General features: G+C 43.4%; 2 annotated features.

Annotated features, from left to right (window-relative positions):
• Positions 1 to 501: an enhancer, noted in NCBI's record as "NANOG-H3K4me1 hESC enhancer chr4:169938862-169939362 (GRCh37/hg19 assembly coordinates)". NCBI's record gives its function as "activates a minimal SCP1, AML or CMV promoter by ChIP-STARR-seq in primed H9 embryonic stem cells {active_cell/tissue: H9 hESC(primed)}" and the evidence as "EXISTENCE:reporter gene assay evidence [ECO:0000049][PMID:30033119]".
• Positions 16,133 to 17,332: an enhancer, noted in NCBI's record as "MED14-independent group 3 enhancer chr4:169954994-169956193 (GRCh37/hg19 assembly coordinates)". NCBI's record gives its function as "activates an origin of replication core promoter dependent on BRD2, BRD4, P300/CBP and CDK7 cofactors, and independent of MED14, by STARR-seq in HCT116 cells {active_cell/tissue: HCT116}" and the evidence as "EXISTENCE:reporter gene assay evidence [ECO:0000049][PMID:35650434]".

The following is a 19,419-nucleotide window of genomic DNA, read 5'->3' on the forward strand; positions in this document are numbered from 1 at the left end:
TACCATATACACATAAATCCAAATCTGGAAACTGACTTTAGATAGTTGTAATTGTAGTTGAGATTCTTTTTTGGCTGCAAGAAAGAGAAGCCCTCGAAAGCAATTCAAATATGTGTTTATGATGCAGAATATGACATCAACAAAAAGCAAGCTGGGACCCCGTGGAACTAGAGATGGGCCTCATTGGGAGCCCCAGGGACCACAGCAGCACATCCCTCTGCCCCCTTAATGCTCTCTGAGGCCGTAAGAGCCCCCTTCTCTGCTGTCCTCTGTTTTAAATTTCTCCTTCCTGCAGACCCACTTTATTTACTAATCACACAGTTGAAAATGGCTGAGCCCCATAGGACTTTTCAGTTCAAGGGATTAAACTCTGACTCCCTTTGTTCAAGACAGAGAATTGGATTGGTTGTTAATGAGGGGATAGATTAGCGCCTGTGGAGAGCAGTTCTCGGGGGAGGCAGGTTGCCATGTGAGTGAGTGGGGTGCTCAAAGGCGGAAGGTGCACCCGCAGCCAAGCACCATTGCCACAGGGGCTCAGTGTGGGCGGCCTTATTAAAGGAGGCTTGGCTGGGCATGTGCTCCCCAGCAGATCAGATACACCATACAAGCAGCATCCCCCTAGGGGATCTTTGCTCAAAATAAGCTCTGTTTTAAATGCAACATGTACACCATTTAGTCTCCTTAACAGACTACTGCCTTTTTCTCTTTTTCAAATATTATTAGCTGAGCTCAATGCCCCATGAAATCTGTAAATGTTTTGTTCCAAGTAACCAGTAGTGAGTCCCAGAACCAGCACCCAACATATAATAATATGAAGAGAAATGGAAGAGGAGGTGATAATGTATGAGGAGAGAGATACGAATTTTTAAGAAGTGAAACAGACACCAATCCTATAAGGAATATGAATCAGTCCCCTCTGGCAAGTAATACTCATAATTTGCTTAACTTACTGAGTTGAGGAGTACATATTTATGGGTCCCTATATAACCTATGAGTGGGAAAAAATGGGCCAAAATTCACCTTATTTTTAAAAATGACATATTAATTTATTTGGCTAATTTACTAGGCTAGCCATTAAACCACAATAATTTTAAATAAATGAGTATAAAGTAGATGATCCTTAACCAAAACTATGGAATGTATCCTTTTTCCCTTCTACTAAATAGAGATGGAATAAATCAGTTGAAAAGAATTGGCTTAGAAGGTGACAGAGGCCTGGCACCATGGCTCACGCCTGTAATCCCAACACTTCAGGAGGCCAAGGTGGGAAGATCACTTGAGCTCAGGAGTTTGAGACCAGCCTGGGCAACACAGAAAGACCCTGTGTCTACAAAATTAAAATTGAAAAATTATCTGTGTGTAGTGGTGCGTGCCTGTGGTCCTAGCTCCTTGGGAGACTAAGGTGGGAGGATTGCTTGAGCCCAAGAGGTCTAGGCTGCAGTCAGCTGTGACCATGCCACAGCACTCTAGCCTGGGTGACAGACAGAGACCCCCTGTCTCCAAAAATAAAAAAAGTGACAGATGACAACATGAATACTTTTCATTCACAACATACACTCTAACTGTTTCAGGCAAAATTCCATAAATATATATAAAACTGGCAATATAGCATCATATATAACTCTGGGTTTAGTCTACTGAATTTGAATTCTGGCTCTACCACAAGCTGTGTAATCTTGGGCAAGTTATTAAACTCTCTGGGTTAAGATTTCTTTATGCAAAAAATAGGGAAAATAATACTGGCATGAGGTTATTGACAGCCATAAGATAGGTTGATCCTATATAAAATACTTAGCACGATGCCATCGCCTTACAATTATTAATAATTAGTAGCACCTCCTTTCAATAGGAAATAGGCATTCTGGACTTATGCATCAGACAGCCATAGTTTAGCCATCACTATTGAGAGACTTGCCTTATATTATTATTCTGGTTTCTCAGGTCAGAAAACATTTTCTTCTGTTTTTGTTTTTCTTCTGATATTCCTTACTTCTTGTATCTCACACAAAATATGTCAGTCACAATTCTGGGTCTGGCATGGTGGCTCATGACTATAAGCCCAGCACTTTGGGAGGCCGAGGTGGGTGGGTCACTTCAGGTCAGGAGTTTGAGACCATCCTGTCCAACATGGTGAAACCTTGTCTCTACAAAAAAATACAAAAATTAGCCGGGCATGGGGCACGTGCCTGTAATCCCAGCTACTCAGGAGGCTGAGGCAGGAGAATCACTTGAACCCAGGAGGCGGAGGTTGCAGTAAGCTGAGATCGCACCACCGCACTCCAGCCTGGGTAACAGAGCAAGACTCCATCTCAAAAAAATAATAATAATAAAAGTAAATAAATCAATAAATTCTGGCTTCTAACTTCCATTTCTTTCAAATCAATGTATTAAAAATATATATCTGAGGTCTGAGGGTTCAACCTGAACAAGTTTATTTATTTGTAAAAGATTATCCTCAAATATATTTCTAAAGTTCCAGTCCTCAGAATAACATAATAAAGCGTATTTCCCTGTTAGCATCTATTACATCCTCATTTTCCTTTTTAGCACAAGTCTGGACTTATGTGGAATTCTGGGAGACGTTTTGAAGCTATTGATGAAGTGGTGAATCCAACAGAAATAGATACACATGCAAAGCAGTGTGTATTGGACATGAATCACCATAGGGGTGTCTCATCCTCATCGTATCTATGAAGAAGAGATGTTAACACACACCAGCCTAACAGCAATAGCATAGATGACACAGGGAAGACATGGAATGTTTTTCTTTCCTCTCGCTTTGTTTTATTTTTTATTTTTGTCTTATTTATTTATTTATTTATTCAAGATAGGATCTCGCTCTGTCACCCAGGCTGGAGTGCAGTGGCTCAATCTTGGCTCACTGTAGCCTTGACCTCCTGGGCTCATACAGTCCTCTCATCTCAGCCTCCCAAATAGCTGGGACCTCAGGCGCATGCCACCATGCCTGGCTAATTTTTTTGTATTTTTTTGTAGAGATAGGATCTCACTATATTGCCCAAACACATCTCGAACTCCTGGACTCAAGCGATCTGCATGCCTCGGCCTCCCAAAGGGCTGGGATTACAGGTGTAAGTCACCGTATCTGGCCTATTTTTGTGTTTAACCAATACTTTTATTTTTTCTTTTAGGTTGGACAAAACGTCTAATGTATAATATTAATATATTCACCTTTATACCAATACAGTTGTGAAATATAATTTTCTTTCTTCTTTTTTTATTAAGTCCAACTTTTATTTTAGATTTGGGGGGCACATGTGTAGGTTTGTTACATGGGTATATTGCATGATGCTGAGATTTGTGATACAAATAATCCCATCCACCAGGTAGTGAGCATAGCAGCCAATAGTTTTTCAACCTTTGTCCCGCTTCTCCCTCCCAACCCCCACAAGAAGTCCCCAGTGTCTATTGTTTCCATTGTCAAGGACATGGAATTTTTTGTGACGCACCACAAAATATCAATATATTTAATTTCATCACATGATCTAAGAATAACTTAGTAGCAGAAAATGTATACTTCATATTACAGATATTTCACGCTTAAAAAAATCACAACACAGGTCCACATCAATGAGGAGAAGACTAACTCTAAAACTATGTGATGGCCGGACACAGTGGCTCACGCCTGCAATCCCAGCACTTTGAGAGGCCAAGACTGGTGAATCACCTGAGGTTAGGCGTTCGAGACCAGCCTGGCCAACTTGCTGAAACCCCATCTCTACTAAAAATACAAAAAAATTAGCCAGGCTTGGTGGCACACGCCTGTAATCCCAACTACTTGGGAGGCTGAGGCAGGAGAATCGCTGGAACCCGGGAAGTGGAGGTTGCAGTGAGCCGAGATGGCGCCACTACACCCCAGCCTGGGCGACAGAGTGAGACTCCATCTCAAATAAATAAATAAATAAATAAATAATAAATAAAACTATGTGATCAGCTGTGTTCAAGTATTTAAATTAATATTTAATTAGCACGTCTTTGTTAATCTGGGGGATTCATATATCTGAAGACCTGAGCCCACGGATGCATGGTGAGAATGTGTTGCACTCCCTTCACTGTGGCAGAGCCAAGGAAGACAGCAGTGAACCGCAGTTATTCCCCTCATGCTGCAAGATGTGTGCTGAACAAGTGATTATAGTTATGAAAAATGTTAAGAAAAGAAAGTGCAGGTGGAGGGGCCGTAGAAATGAATAATGGGCAATTAGCCTAGCCTGGGCAATCAGGAGAAACTCCCTAGGAAGTTCCACTTAAGTTGAGTCTTGGTGAATGAGAAAGGGTTAATCAGGTGAAGAAAGCTGTGGGGCAGGAGCTGTTAAATGTGGAGAAGAGAGGTCTAGGCACCTGGCTACATAATGACCCAGATGGAAACTATTCCAGAAACTGAACCTCAGTAATGTGCCTGAAGCTTGAGAAAGAAGGGAATAGAAAACTATAAGATGAGGAAAAGAGATTAAGCATAGGTCAGATTATGCTAAACCTCATAGGACACATTGCAGATTTCGGTGTTTATCTTAAAGAAAATAGAAAGCCATAGAAGGCTGTTTTTGTTGTTGTTGTTGTTGTTTGTTGTTTTGGTTTTTTTTTTTTTTTAGACAGAGTCTCACTCTGTCACCCAGGCTGGAGTCCAGTGGCTAGAGAATTCCACTCCCACTTTCCTGATGATCTAGTGAGGCTGCCAGTGACTTAACCCAACCCTCCAGCCTTTGAAAAATCAGGTAACCTAGTCCAGAGAAATAAGCATCTTTCTCCTAAAAATATACATCTTAAGAAGAACCAAGAGTGGTTGAAGATGAGCCCAGTCATCCATGGAGATGTTGTACCCAGAAAGCTGTCAGGACTTCCTGCTGCGAAGATGCCCAGAGTCCCCCAGTTCTGAAACTGAGTTGTTTAACTCTTCCTTGATTCTGTGAGGTCCCCAGTATTATTCTAATAAATGGGCTTTTCTCATTTAAGTTTGGCGGGGTGGGTTTCTATTGCTTGTGTCCCAAGAACTCTGACACTGCCAGGCAGTGTGCTAGGTGATGTATATGATAATTTATTTAATTTAATTTTTCAAAGGAAGGTATCATAATCTCCATTTTACACACAATGAAAATGAAGCTAGTTGAGGTTACAGTAATTTGCTCACAGACACACAGTAAGTGGTGAAGTGTGACAAGGGGCTTGAGTCTTTGCCTGGATGCCAAAGGCTCTGCATGTTCTTCTATGTCACAAATGAGCAAGGATATTAAAAAGTTTTCATTCATTGCCACATAAGCTTAATATTTCAGACACATTTTGCATTAAATGATCTTACCAGGTAGATCATTTGTTATATCTGCTGATACAATAGAAATTTTCTTAGAAAAGCACAAAATGAAAGCAGAGAGAGATTATTAACAAGTTAAAGTTCTGTATATTGTTTTAATATACATATGTGTGTTTAGTTCCCTACCTAAAATACATCACAGTCACACAACATTCCGATCTTTTATTCTCTACAATTTTTTTTTTTTTTTAGATGGAGTCTTCCACTGTCGCCAGGCTGGAGTGCAGTGGCGCAATCTCCGCTCACTGCAACTTCCGCCTCCCGGGTTCAAGCAATTCTCCTGTCTCAGCCTCCCAAGTAGCTGGGACTACGGGCATGTACCACCACACCCAGCTAATTTTTGTATTTTTAAAAGAGACGGGGTTTCGCCATGTTGCTCAGGATGGTCTCGAGCTCTTGACCTCGTGATCCGTCCACCTCGGCCTCCCAAAGTGCTGGGATTACAAGCGTGAGCCACCGCGCCCGGCCTTTCTACTCTTTTGTGTTCCAAATTCTTTTGTATTCCATCATAATAATAACAGTGTAATTGCATGCAGTCTTACAATGGTTTTTAAGTCTACTCGTGACAAGAGCACAGTTATAGCCATGATATTAAACAAAAGGAAAACACGACAATCAATAACGATGTACATATAAGTACATATAAGGAATTGTACTAAATGTTGTGGGATAAACAAAATAAAAGAAATAAACATTTTCTTCAAGACACTGTCTCATTGGAAAGGCAAATAACAAAGATATGAAAAATAAAATAGGTAGAAATGGAATAAAAATGCAAAGGTAGCACGTGACTCCCTGTGAAATGATGTTTTAAGAGAGTTAATTACAAAGTCCTATGAACCCAAAAGGAAAGTGCTCAGATCCGGAAGAATAGGAAATGAAGAACAGTATGCTTGTGTCTGTCCACAAGAAAAATATATGATGTCTAAATAACAACCTAAAATAATGAAAGATTTCTGTGATGCATGGCTGACACACAGTACATCTTCATCTCAGGGGAGAATTTCCAGAAGTTGATTTTCCAGATTTATAGAACACAACTCCTGAGTGGTCACTGCAGCAACTGTGTCATTTTTCTACTTTTTCCAGCTGAACCAGTGACAAGTTACATCACTAATCCTGAGCTTATTAAGAAGTGTCACCATCTCATGTTGGAAACCTCTCCGGAGGGTTTGGTACTGTTCTCTCAGGTAGATTATTTAAGATTAATGTCCTGATATGACAAACTGCATTTTTAATCTGTCATCAAAGCAGATTATCAGAACCAGAAATGACAAGATTTAACACACAGTTTTTCATGCCTAAAACTAACAGCAAAAACTACAATGCATTTCACTACATTCAAAGTAAACATGATATATTAATGAATGGTTTTTCCTCTGTCACCGAATAATTATAGATTCCTTCTTACTAAAAACAAATTATGTTTATTTCCCTTAAGAAGACTATGATTAATTATACACAATTACACTTGCCTTTAATTGAACAGATTTCTTCTTTACTCTGGATTAGTGGGTTATTGTATATTATTAAATAGCTTCAGAAAACCCAAAGAAGGAAACCTTTCTCTTCAGAACTAAAGCTGGGTAAGTAATGGTGGTCGTGGAACTATGGATAGGGGTCAAAAAAGTTTCATTTTCTTGTTAAAATGACCTATGGCAAACAGAGCTAACAGTGTCTTACAGTTCTGATTTATTGGAAGCACATTGATATGCCTGAATCTCAGAAATTGTATTGGAAAAGCCACAAATGAAAGCTGAGAGAGATTAACATGTGGTGGGCTAAGACTTTGTAAAGATAGATTCCTAAGGCAGGATTTCTCAAACTCAACAATATTGACATTTTAGGATGTATAATTTTTGTTGTTGTTGGGGGTTGTCTTGTGCACCACAGAATATTTGCAGCATCTATCCACTAGATGCCAGTAACGTACATCCTCACAGTTGTGACAAACAATGATATCTCCAGACATTGCCAAATGTCTCCTAGAAGGGGATGGGGGCGGAGTGGGGTAGAGGGGAGCAAAATTGCCCTGGTTGAGAACCACCACCCAAAATTGTAGCATTCCTGTCTGGCCCCAAATCTAGAGGACATTGTACCTGATTCTGCTAGATGCTGAAAGTGTATAATTCTGTTGTGATAACAGAATATCCAGAATAAAGACCATACTTCCCAGCCTCACCTCCCTTACAGCTAAGTAGGGCCATGCTTCTAAAGTCAGGTTAACAGGATTTAAGCAAAAATTGTGTGGGAACTTCCTGGTCATGCCCATAAAAGGAAAAAAATATTTCCTTCTATTCTACTTTCCACCTTCTTGCTGGCTAGTTATAGACATGATGGTGAGAGCCAGAGCAGCCATACTGGACACAGGGATTGGAGCTGTGTGTTGAGTATGGCAGAGTAACAACAGCATGGGTGGCTGGATGTTTGACATGGTAGAGGTCCCATATCAGCTTTGAGACCTGAGAGAGAATAAACTTCTCTCTTGCTTAAATCTCTGTTCTATCAGGTTCTTTGTTATAGCAACTGGCATTTTCGTGGTAACTAACACACATCCCAACTGCTGTTGCATGCGCTAAGCCAAAAAGGCAGCAATGAAAAGAGGAGGGATCACTTCTTGTCCTTTTGGGTAAGACCAAGTATAAAACAGGGAGCTTCCTTTGTCCCACTGGAATCTAAAGAAGCTCTAACTGGGTCTACATCCTTGATTGGAAAACAGTCATTTTTAATTGTAACATAAACAAACACCAGGGAAAGAAACAGTGAGCAGTGAGGGAGGACGGAGTTAGTGATTCAGTCAGACCAACTGAATTCACACAGGCGATCCAATAGGAAGACAGTGTGCACAGTTGGTCTTTTCTTAGCTTACACTGAGATTCACGTCTGGACAGGTGAGGCTGGCGAAGTCCCCTACACAGCTGTTTATTTGCATGAGCTGGTTTGCCACGCAAAGAGCATGCTAGGCCAGGCACGGTGGCTCATGCCTATAATCCCAGCACTTTGGGAGGCTGAGGCGGGCAGATTGCTTGAGCCCAGGAGTTCAAGACCAGCCAGGCCAACATAGGGAGATCCCGTCTCTACCAAAATTAGCTGGGTGTGGTGGCGCCTGTAGTACTAACTACCCAAGAGTCTGAGGTGGGAGGATTGCTTGAGCCCAGGAGATCAAGGCTGTGGTGAGCCAAGATTGCATCACTGCACTCCAGCCTGGGTGACAGAGCAAGACTATCTCAAAAAAAGAAAGAAAGAAAAATAAAAAGAAACGAAGGAAGGAGAGAGAGAGAGAGAGAAAGAAAGAAAGAAAGAGAGAAAGAAGGAAGGAAGGAGAGAGAGAGAGAAAGGAAGAAGAAAGAAAGAGAGAGAAGGAAGGAAGGAGAGAGAAAGAAAGAAAGAAAGGAGAAAGAAAGAAAAAAAAGAAAAGAAGAAATGGCATGTTAGGTTGTACTTTTGTGGGAATGTAAGAATGAGAAAGACATTATCAGTGGAACGGATGGCCTTGTGTCTGGTCACCTGTCCAGCCCCATGGACAATGTATGAACCAATGAAGAGTGAACGTTCATAAGCTCAAGTGAGGAAATGGGTTCAGAAAGGTAGTCATGAAACGCATGGCACAGAGCATGACAAAGAGTGCCCAAAGCAGGGGGGAGAGCTCTCTCCCCACTTTGGCAAGGAATGCAGCCCCAACTGCGTGAACTTTCTAGTTCCTCCATGGTGACAACCAGAGGACCAGGGCGGAAGCTTAGGGGAGGGGAGGGCCCTGCAGATAACATTGTACCTCACAAGGACCTGCAGAGAACAATGGTGTTGAGCAGTGGGACCGGACTTTGCTTATAAGCACAAGTGAGATACCCCATAGAAATACCCAGAAATGCTTTACGATGGAGGACATTACAATAAGATGAGGCCATGCATCACTGGGGGAAGCCTTAAGCTGGCAAAGGTTGACCATTAATGTTGACGGTCCCCTGTGGCAGATAATAGTGAATTCCTGACCCAGTCAGCATTCCAAGGCCCTTCTCCCTACCATGTTGTTCCAGCCATGAGGGGATCTGAGGCAGTGTTCTGGGCAACATGACCAAAACAGAACACTAGTGGTGTTCCTGAAAAAAAAAAAAAAACAATTTTTTTTTCTGTGATAGAAACACTGCCTTTTCTCCTTCTGTCTTCTTCCTGGAGGAATGTGAACATGATTCCTGAAGCAACAGCAGCAGCAGCCATCATCTTTAAGCCTCCGCAGTCGCTGATTTCTGCATCTCTTGTTCTGTGAGGAAAATAGCCCCATGTGCTTAAATGGCTGTAGTTGAGTTTTCTAACACTTGAAGCCACTGCTGATTCATGGCTACAGGCTGATAAAAGCAGGGGAAATTTATATTACAGCAAATGTTGCTGCCATCTCTCCTGAAAAAGTGGTCTGAGGATCATATACAAGCCAAATATCTCCTTTCACATACTTTGCCCAGTCTATATGTGGCCTTTGTCATCTCACAATGTTTTCATGTTCACTTACTCATCTAAAAAGTTTGTTACTGGCGAGGATGTGGGAAAACTGGACCCCTCCTATACTGCTGGTGGAAGTTTAAAATGTACATCTACTCTGGAAAATTTCTTGACAGTTTTTCATAAAACTAAATCTGCATTTGCCACATAACCTAGCAATCATATCCTCTTGGGCATTTATCCCAGAGAAATGAAAACTTATGCTCATATACACAGAGAATAAGTCTGTATATGAATGCTGATAGTAGCTTTATTTGTAATAGCAAAAAAACTGTGAACAATCCAAATGTCTTTCAAAGGGCAAATGGTTAAGCAAACTCTGGCATATCCATACGGTGGAATACTATTCAGCCACGCAAAGGAATAAACTATGGATACATGCGACAAACTGGGTGGGTCTTAAGGACATTATGCTGGGTGAAAAAGTCAATGTCAAAAGGTTACATACTGTATGACTCCATTTATAGAACATCCTGGAAATGACAAAAGTGTAGAGATGGAGAACAGATTAGTGGTGGCCAGGGATTATGAACAGCGGACAGAGGGAGGATGCAAAGGGGTAGAATGAGGGAGTTCCTTTGTGCTGATGGAACAATTCTGTATCCTAATTGTTGTGTTAGCTACAACAGTAATTATGTACTGATCTATAACTGGGGTCAAATTGCATAGAACTATAAATACACACACACATGAGTGCATGTAAAAACTGGAGAATGCAGAGTAAGGTCTATACTCTAGTTACTAGTGTTATTCCACGCCAGTTTACTGGTTTTAATATGGTACTATGGTTATATAAGATGTCACCACATGGAACTCTATGTGTTAAGTGTTGCAGCTTTCTGTGAGCCCATACATATTTCAAAATAAAGAGGTTTTTTTTTATCAGCCTTAATAATCAGAAAAAAAGGAATAACTGATGACTCAGAGTATCTTTTCCGAATAAAATCTACAATCATTTTCCTTCAAATTTCTCATATGATTTTAAGCTTGATAGATATTTCGTCTCATTAAAATTTACGTGACATGGCCGGGCGTGGTGGCTCATGCCTGTAATCCCAGCACTTTGGGAGGTGGAGGGGGGCGGATCATGAGGTCAGGAGTTCAAGAGCAGCCTGGCTAACATAGTAAAACCCTGTCTCTACTAAAAATACAAAAATTAGCTGGGTGTAGTGGCACACACCTGAAGCCCCAGCTACTCAGGAGGCTGAGGCAGGAAAGTCGCTTGAACCCAGGAGGCGGAGCTTTTAGTGAGCTGAGACTGTGTGACTGCACTCCGGCTTGGGTGACAGAGCGAGACTCCGTCTCAAAAAAAAAAAATTAACGTGACGTAACCATAGAAAGAAAGAAAAAAAAAGTTTGGCTTTAGGGAGAAGAAAGCAGAGAACAATATGTATCCTTTGGTCTTAGAAACGAATGGTAATGAAACAACAAAAATAGTTTCACAAATTTTTACTTAGAAAATTGAACTTAAGAGCCTTGTTTTGTTTTGTTTTTTTGGTGAGGCGGCGCGGGGAGTTTTGTTTTTTAGCTGGGCATGGTGGCATGAGCCTGTGGTCCCAGCAACTAGGGAGGCTGAGGTGGGAGGATTGCTTGAGACCAGGAGATGGAGGCTGCAGATGGAGGCTGCAGTGAGCCGTGATTGTGCCACTGTATTACAGCCTGGGTGACAGAGCAAGACTCTGTCTCAAAGAAAAAAAAAAGAGTCTTGTTCAAGCATAAGCAATGGGTCAAAAAATAAGGTAACTATAAATACAGTGCAGATGTGAATTTTTAAGTCAGTAACATTGTTTGGGGACTTGATCCAGTTACCTTTTATGGTCCAAAGAAAGACTCTCTGTCACCCACCACACGATTAGTCATTTTTTTCTACCTCTCTTGAGAAAAAATGATGAAATTAATAAATTGTGACTATTAAGCAAGTTATACCAACGCCATATGCAATTTTCCCAGAAAGACAAATTGTAAAGGAAATGCTTGCAAAGTTCTTACACAAACTCTCTTGGAAGAGAATAAAAGAGCAGCTGTGCACTGAGCCCCCCTGGTTGTCTGAAATGAGGTGGTGAGCCACCATTGAGTGTATCAGTTACCTTTGAAAGTTATTACCGTCCTCATTTTCATCTAGAGGGTAATAAAAGGTGTCAGAAAGTTTTTGCTTTTTGAAGCAGTCATCTGCTTATTTCTAGAAGTAACTGTAGATTAGCGACTAAATCCCCAAATTAAATAAAAAGAGGAGTCCAAATTGCTAGAACTTTTGAAAGAATTACTGCAGCATAAGCAGGTGTGGGCGTTATATAAATGTGTAGCATTATCTTGGGTAGAATTCAGAGGGCCCAGCAGAAAAACTGGTTTTGGTCATCTTGTGTCCTGAAGCTTCAGACCCATTACTTATCAAAAAAAAAAAAAAAAAAAAAAAGTAAACTACAAAGGGAAGGGAGATATCCTGATTTTGACAAAGCCCGAGTATGTTCATGAACAACTCTCACGTTTTAAAATTTTACCTGTGACCTCTGGTAATTTGCAAACATGAAGAGACATGGAAGACATTCTGGAAGCACTAACTGGATTATGCAAATTGAAAAACTGCAGATATCTTCACTCCGAACATGACCTACCAATGTCAGACCCACATTAAAATCATGACAAATAGTGGCCACTAAATGAATTCCTGAGTAAATGAGATTACACCAAAACTTCTAGTTTATACTCTCAGTTTAAAATATATTTGGGGGTTATTATATGATTAAATTCAAATTTCAATGGTAATTTTCAGAATATGTGAAATGCCAGAAGATACATCACAATTATTCGGAGTTATTTATAAGGATTAAACCTCTGGGGGGAAAGGAGAGAGCCATTTAGGGGGTTTGTTTATTTAGCATCCCATCTGCAGTAGAACTGAATATTTTAAAAAAGCAAAAAGCTGAATGATGACATCAATCTAAGGATCCAAGGTATCCAACTGTTAGGAAAGACTGGATCGGAGAAGATTGTAATTGTGACCATAATTCGTATTGTACACATTGGTCAATTTCTTTAACAGCGGCTGCAGAAAATGTCAAAGCTCAATTTTTTTTCTCCTCCAACTCTTTGATATTTTGCTGTGTGACTCACGTCCTGTAGTAACTCCTGGCTGACTTGAAAGCCTTTCTAGGACATCAATTCTCAGGACTCAATTTTCTCTATCAGATTGTTGCAAATAAATCTCATTTTATATCTCAGCTCATAAGAGCAGTGAAAATGCTTTACTGTGTCTCTGCTTTCTATTGCTGTGTTTAACGCTACAGCTGAGGACTTGATTGTCCCTCCAAGAGACACGTAAGATGGGAATGTGAATTCCCTTCCCCCATCCCTTGGCTCCCAGTGACAATGGAGCATGAAGATAGTAAATCATCGTCATAATTGCCTAGACCTATCTAGTCAACTGGCTTAATAAGACGGGAAGTAGGTTGCTGAGAAAGAGGAATGACGTTTTAACAAGACGACTCAAATCAAACTATAATTTATCCTTCACAACACCTTTAATTTTTCCGGAAAGTTATCAGAAGCAAAATCGCCATTTTGAAGATACCAAACACGGCTTAACCCTTTTCAATCACTTCATTAAGTCAACAGAAGCATACAAAGCATTCTTAAAATATTTGCAAATATATGCTAGCAAAATTCCATCTAACTACCTCATTATCTGGTAGTTTCGTAGCATTTGAGTTTTAAAATATTGTCTTTGAAAAGACAGAAGTTCAAAACTGCGTTTTTCTGCAAGACAATTCCATACTTGCATTTCCACCTTCTGCTAAGAAATTGGGTGGACCTGAGCTTTGTGCTCACTGCCTCCAAACCTTGTTAAATATTTAAAAACCCCTGGCAGCCCAGCAGCCCCAAGTCCGCTTGGGGCTGTGTTCCGATTCAGAAACAAAGTGAAAGGTTTATCAGGGGATCACCCTTGCAACAGTTTCCGCAGGCACCTCTGGGGGCTGGGACACCGCACGCACCCTGGAGGGGCATCCTGGAGGCCACCACACGCACCCTGGAGGGGCATCCTGGAGGCCACCGCACGCACCCTGGAGGGGCATCCTGGAGGCCACCGCACGCACCCTGGAGGGGCATCCTGGAAAGCACCTAGGAATGTGCGAGCTTGGCCGCGGCTGTGCTTGTTCCATCCTTGACGCATGGCAGCTTTGTATTGTCCAGTTTCTGACCTCCATTTAGATTAGGACTCAGTAGAAAAAAATTGAAATCGCAAATACTTCTCTTAGTTCTCCCTTGATTTTTTGGTTGAAAGGCTTTGCCTGTGCTGGCCAGGCGCGGTGGCTCATGCCTGTAATCCCAGCACTTGAGGAAGCTGAGGCAGGCAGATCACGAGGTCAGGAGTTCGAGACCAGCCTGGCCTATATGGTGAAACCCCATCTCTACTAAAAATACTAAAAATACAAAAAATTAGCCAGGTGTGGTGGCGCACACCTGTAGTCCCAGCTACTCTGGAGACTGAGGCAGAAGAATCGCTTGAACCCGGGAGGCAGAGGTTGCAGTGAGCTGAGATCGCACCACTGCACTCCAGCCTGGGTGACAGAGCGAGACTCCATCTAGAAAAAAAAAAAAAAAGAAGGCTATGCCTGTGCTTTGTTTTTACTTGAACACTTTAGATCTGAGAACTGAAATCACAGCAGGGCTGGGGCTCACCTGTTTCCTTGTACTTCCTCACCTTCTCTTTTCTTCCTTTCCTTCATCCTAACTTATTTTTTAACCCTTTTTTCTTTTCCTCTTCCTTCCTTATTCCCTCTCTCTCCTCTTTCCTTTCTTCCTTTTTCTTACCCTCTTCCTTTGTTCCTCCCTTTCTTCTCCCTTTCCTCCTTCCCTTCTTTCCTTCTTCCTTCCTCCCTTCCTTTCTCCTTCCTTCCTCCTTCTCTCCCTTCTTCCTTTTCTTCTTTTCTCCATTCCTTCCCCTCTTCCTTCTTCCTTTTCCTTCCTTCTTCCCTCTGTTCCTTCTTCTTTGGGTATCTCACCTTCACAGAGACCCTCCCTCTTGCTGTCTGAAATGCCTGCTGGCCCTTGAGTCAAATGTAAGTCTTAAAACTTACATTTTTCAGTTACTTCCCTGAATCTTGTACTTGTACTTCCCTGATCAGGTACTTCCCTTGAATCTTGTCAGTCAGGATTTTGTTGCTCTTTAAAGCCTGCATTTCTGCCACGCTGTTGAGGAGATTTAAAGTGTGCTCTGTGCTGGCGTGAAAATATGCATCCTCCCTGCAGCCTTAGCTTTAAGCAAGAGGCAAGCACTGATGGGGGGTAGCCCTCACCTGGTGTCCTGAAAGGGAGTAGTCTAGGAATGTGTGTTCTACACTGGCAATAGGTTTATTTGCCCATGATTTTGACTTTAAAAAGAAAACTTCAAACACAGAAGTAAGTATACTAAACAGTGACTGTATTAGGCTTGTCCTTACTGATTTCCTCTTCACAACTATGCCCAATTTACACCTGTGGAAACAGAGGCACAGATAGGCTAAACACACCCCCAGTGATGCACAGCTGGTCTGTGTCAGGGCCAGGATTTGAAAGCCAGGCGGCCTGGTTCTGGAGCTCTGCCTAGAACCACTATTCTGCAATGCCTCTGTCAGTAGACGGAAACATAGGACATAGTTTAGAGGGTTTTCATACATATATAGGGTGACACTGTTCATACTATTCTGACATTTAAAATCTTTTCTCAGCCAGGTATGGTGGCTCACACCTGTAGTCCTAGCACTTTGGGAAACTCCTGGCTTGAGGCCAGGAGTTCAAGACCAGCTTGGACAACATAGTAAGACCCTATCTGTACAAAAAATTGATAAATTAGCTGGGCATGGTGATACACACCTGTAATACCAGCTACTCTGGGAGGCTGAAGTGGGAGGATCGCTTCAGCCTGAACGATTGAGGCTGCAGTAAGCCATCATTGCACCACTGCACTCCAGCCTGGGCAACAAAGCAAGACCCTGTCTCAAAAATTCAAGAAATCATTTCTCAAGGGTGATGAGGAGTGACTGCTTAATGTGTATGAGGCTCCCTTTTGGAGTGATAACACCGTCCTGGAATTAAAGAGAGGTGATGGTTGTATTGTAGAACCTTACTCCTTAGTTCAGCTAAATCTCAGGTTCTTGTCACACGACCAGGAAAATTTAGGCACACGGACACATTGAAGGGTGAGTAGAGCAGGACTTTATTGGGCAAAAAGGAAAAAAAGAAAAAAAAAACACTCAGCAAAGTGAGATGGAGACCTGTAACATGCCGTCCACCTCACAGACTGAATCCCTGGCCACCACACAGGAACCTGGGAGAGCAGGCTCCTCCCCTGTGTAGGGTGCCAATTCCCCATGGCTCCACCCACTTCCCCCAGTGCGCATGTGGAGCTCCAGTCCACTGTGGGCATGCCCAGACAAAGCTTTGGGCAGAGTCCCTCATCTGCACGAAAGCATCCGATGTAAACACTTGTGGGGCAGGTTGGAGATTCTCTGGGGACCCCTTCTTATCTGCCTAAGCATTTGGCTGTCTCAGTTGCACACTATGAATGTATTAAATGCCACTAAATTGTACACTTAAAAATGGTTTGTGGTTAATTTTATGTTATGTGAATTTTGCCCCAATTAAAAAAAAATTAGTATACTGAAGATTACATAATCGTATAATAATCAGTTTGACTATTTCCCTATTTATGGACAATCAGGTTATTTCCAAGGTTTTGCTCTTACAATTTATGCTTCAAAACAACTTCCTTGCACTTATGTGTTTGTACACATATTTGAGCATTTCTATAAGGCAGTTTCCTTGAAGTATACACATATTTGAGTGTTTCTATAAGGCAGTTATTGAGTTGGAGGTTGTTCCTAGTTTAAGTTTTGATAGATACTACCACAGTTCCCTCAAAATAAAGAAGTGCCAATGTGTGCACTTAAGTAAGAATCACCACTCAAGATTTTTTTTTTTTTTTTGAGACAGAGTTTTGCTCTTGTTGCCCAGGCTGGAATGCAGTGGCTCACTGCAGCCTCTGCCTCCCAGGTTCAAGTGATTCTCCTGCCTCAGCCTCCGAAGTAGCTGGGATTACAGGCACCCGCCACCAAGCCCCACTAATTTTGGTATTTTTAGTAGTAGAAACGGGGTTTACCATGTTGGCCAGGCTGGTCTCGCACTCCTGACCTCAGGTGATCCTCCCACCTTGGCCTCCCAGAGTGCTGGTGTGTCCGGAATTGGTGGGTTCTTGGTCTCACTGACTTCAAGAATGAAGCCGCGGACCCTCGTGGTGAGTGTTACAGCTCTTAAGGTGGCGCGTCTGGAGTCTGTCCCTTCTGATGTTCAGATGTGTTCAGAGTTTCTTCCTTCTGGTGGGTTCGTGGTCTCGCTGGCTCAGGAGTGAAGCTGCAGACCTTCACGGTGAGTGTTACAGCTCTTAAGGCAGCACGTCTGGGGTTGTTCATTCATCCCGGTGGGCTCATGGTCTCCCTGGGCTCAGGAGTGAAGCTGCAGATCTTCGCGGTGAGTGTTACAGCTCATAAAAGCAGCGTGGACCCAAAGAGTGAGCAGTAGCAAGATTCATTGCAGAGTGAAAAAACAATGCTTCCACAGTGTGGAAGGGGATCCAAGCGGGTTACCAATGCTGGCTCGGGCAGCCTGCTTTTAGTCTCTTATCTGGCCCCACCCACATCCTGCTGATTGGTAGAGCCGAGTGGCCTGTTTTGACAGGGTGCTGATTGGTGCATTTACAATCCCTGGGCTAGATACAAAGGTTCTCCACGTCCCCATCAGATTAGTTAGATACAGAGTATGGACACAAAGGTTCTCCAAGGCCCCAGCAGAGCAGCTAGATACAGAGTGTCGATTGGTGCATTCACAAACCTTGAGCTAAACACAGGGTGCTGATTGGTGTGTTTACAAACCTTGAGCTAGATACAGAGTGCTGATTGGTGTATTTACAATCCCTGAGCTAGACATAAAGGTTCTCCAAGGCCCCACCAGAGCAGCTAGATACAGAGTGTCGATTGGTGCACTCACAAACCCTGAGCTAGACACAGGGTGCTGATTGGTGTGTTTACAATCCCTGAGCTAGACATAAAGGTTCTCCAAGGCCCCACCAGAGCAGCTAGATAACAGAGTGTCCATTGGTGCACTCACAAACCTTGAGCTAAACACAGGGTGCTGATTGGTGTATTTACAATCCCTGAGCTAGACATAAAGACTGTCCACATCCCCACCAGACTCAGGAGCCCAGCTGGCTTCACCTAGTGGATCCCACATCCGGGCTGCAGGTGGAGCTGCCTGCCAGTCCTGCGCGTGCGCTCGCATTCCTCAGCCCTTGGGTGGTCGATGGGACTGGGCGCCATGGAGCAGGGGGTGGTGCTCGTCAGGGAGGCTCGGGCCGCACAGGAGCCCATGGAGTGGGTGGGAGGCTCAGGCATGGTGGGCTGCAGGTCCCGAGCCCTGCCCCGCGGGAAGGCAGCTAAGGCTGGGTGAGAAATCGAGCACAGCGCCGGTCGGCTGGCACTGCTGGGGGACCCAGTACACCCTCCGCAGCCGCTGGCCCGGGTGCTAAGCCCCTCACTGCCCGGGGCCGGCAGGGCCAGCTGGCCGCTCAGAGTGCAGGGCCAGCCAAGCCCACGCCCACCCGGAACTCCAGCTGGCCCGCAAGCGCTGCGCACAGCCCTGGTTCCCGCTCGTGCCTCTCCCTCCACACCTCCCTGCAAGCTGAGGGAGCCGGCTCTGGCCTTGGCCAGCCCAGAAAGGGGCTCCCACAGTGCAGCGGCAGGCCGAAGGGCTCCTCAAGTGCGGCCAAAGTGGGAACCCAGGCAGAGGAGGCGCCGAGAGCAAGCGAGGGTTTTGAGGACTGCCAGCACGCTGTCACCTCTCACTGGGATTACAGGCGTGAGCCGCCACGCCCAGCCTGGAGACAGATTTTTATATTGCAAAGTGGTTCTCCTGCTGCGTGTTGATCTCTGCAACCACATATTAAAATACAGCACACTCAAAGCCTCATTTTGTTTTACTCTGAAACTCAGATATTGGGTGGGGCCCACTATGGTTCCTGTGTCCCTAGCACAGACATAGTGGTTTTAGAGGTCCTCTGCTCCAGACCCTACTTCCACACATTGTATCTCTGTTCTACTCTAGGGGCCCAACTTCACTGGTTTAAAAAAAAAAAATCTATTTCCACCAAACATGTTGTCAGTTTGATTATTATGAAGATTTGAAGAGCCAGAGAGAGGAGTCACATCCCGCGTAGACCCAGTCATTTCATACCCAGGTCCCTCTGGAAGCCTTTTTCTATCTCTTTCTTCCCCTTCTTCCCAGGTTCCATCCTCTACAGGCAGCCTTACCTCACCCTGGCCTCTGAGAGCTGGGCCTTGGCCTAGCCAAACCCTGGAGGCTCAGCCCCTACCCAGGGAGACTTGGAGAGGCAATTTCCCCAAAGATGGCTCTCTCCTTAGGAGGAATTTTCACAGCAGCAGCTAAAAATACACAATATTCCAAACCTCATTTCAGAATGTGTTGTATCCTTCACCCTGAAGCAAGAATGTGCTGCCTCCCCTTTGTGGGAAAAGCACTCACCCTCCCTTGCGGACTTACCTTTCCCATACCTG

The sequence above is a fragment of the Homo sapiens genome, chromosome 4 (genome assembly GCF_000001405.40).
Source record: "Homo sapiens chromosome 4, GRCh38.p14 Primary Assembly".
Lineage (NCBI taxonomy): Eukaryota > Metazoa > Chordata > Mammalia > Primates > Hominidae > Homo > Homo sapiens.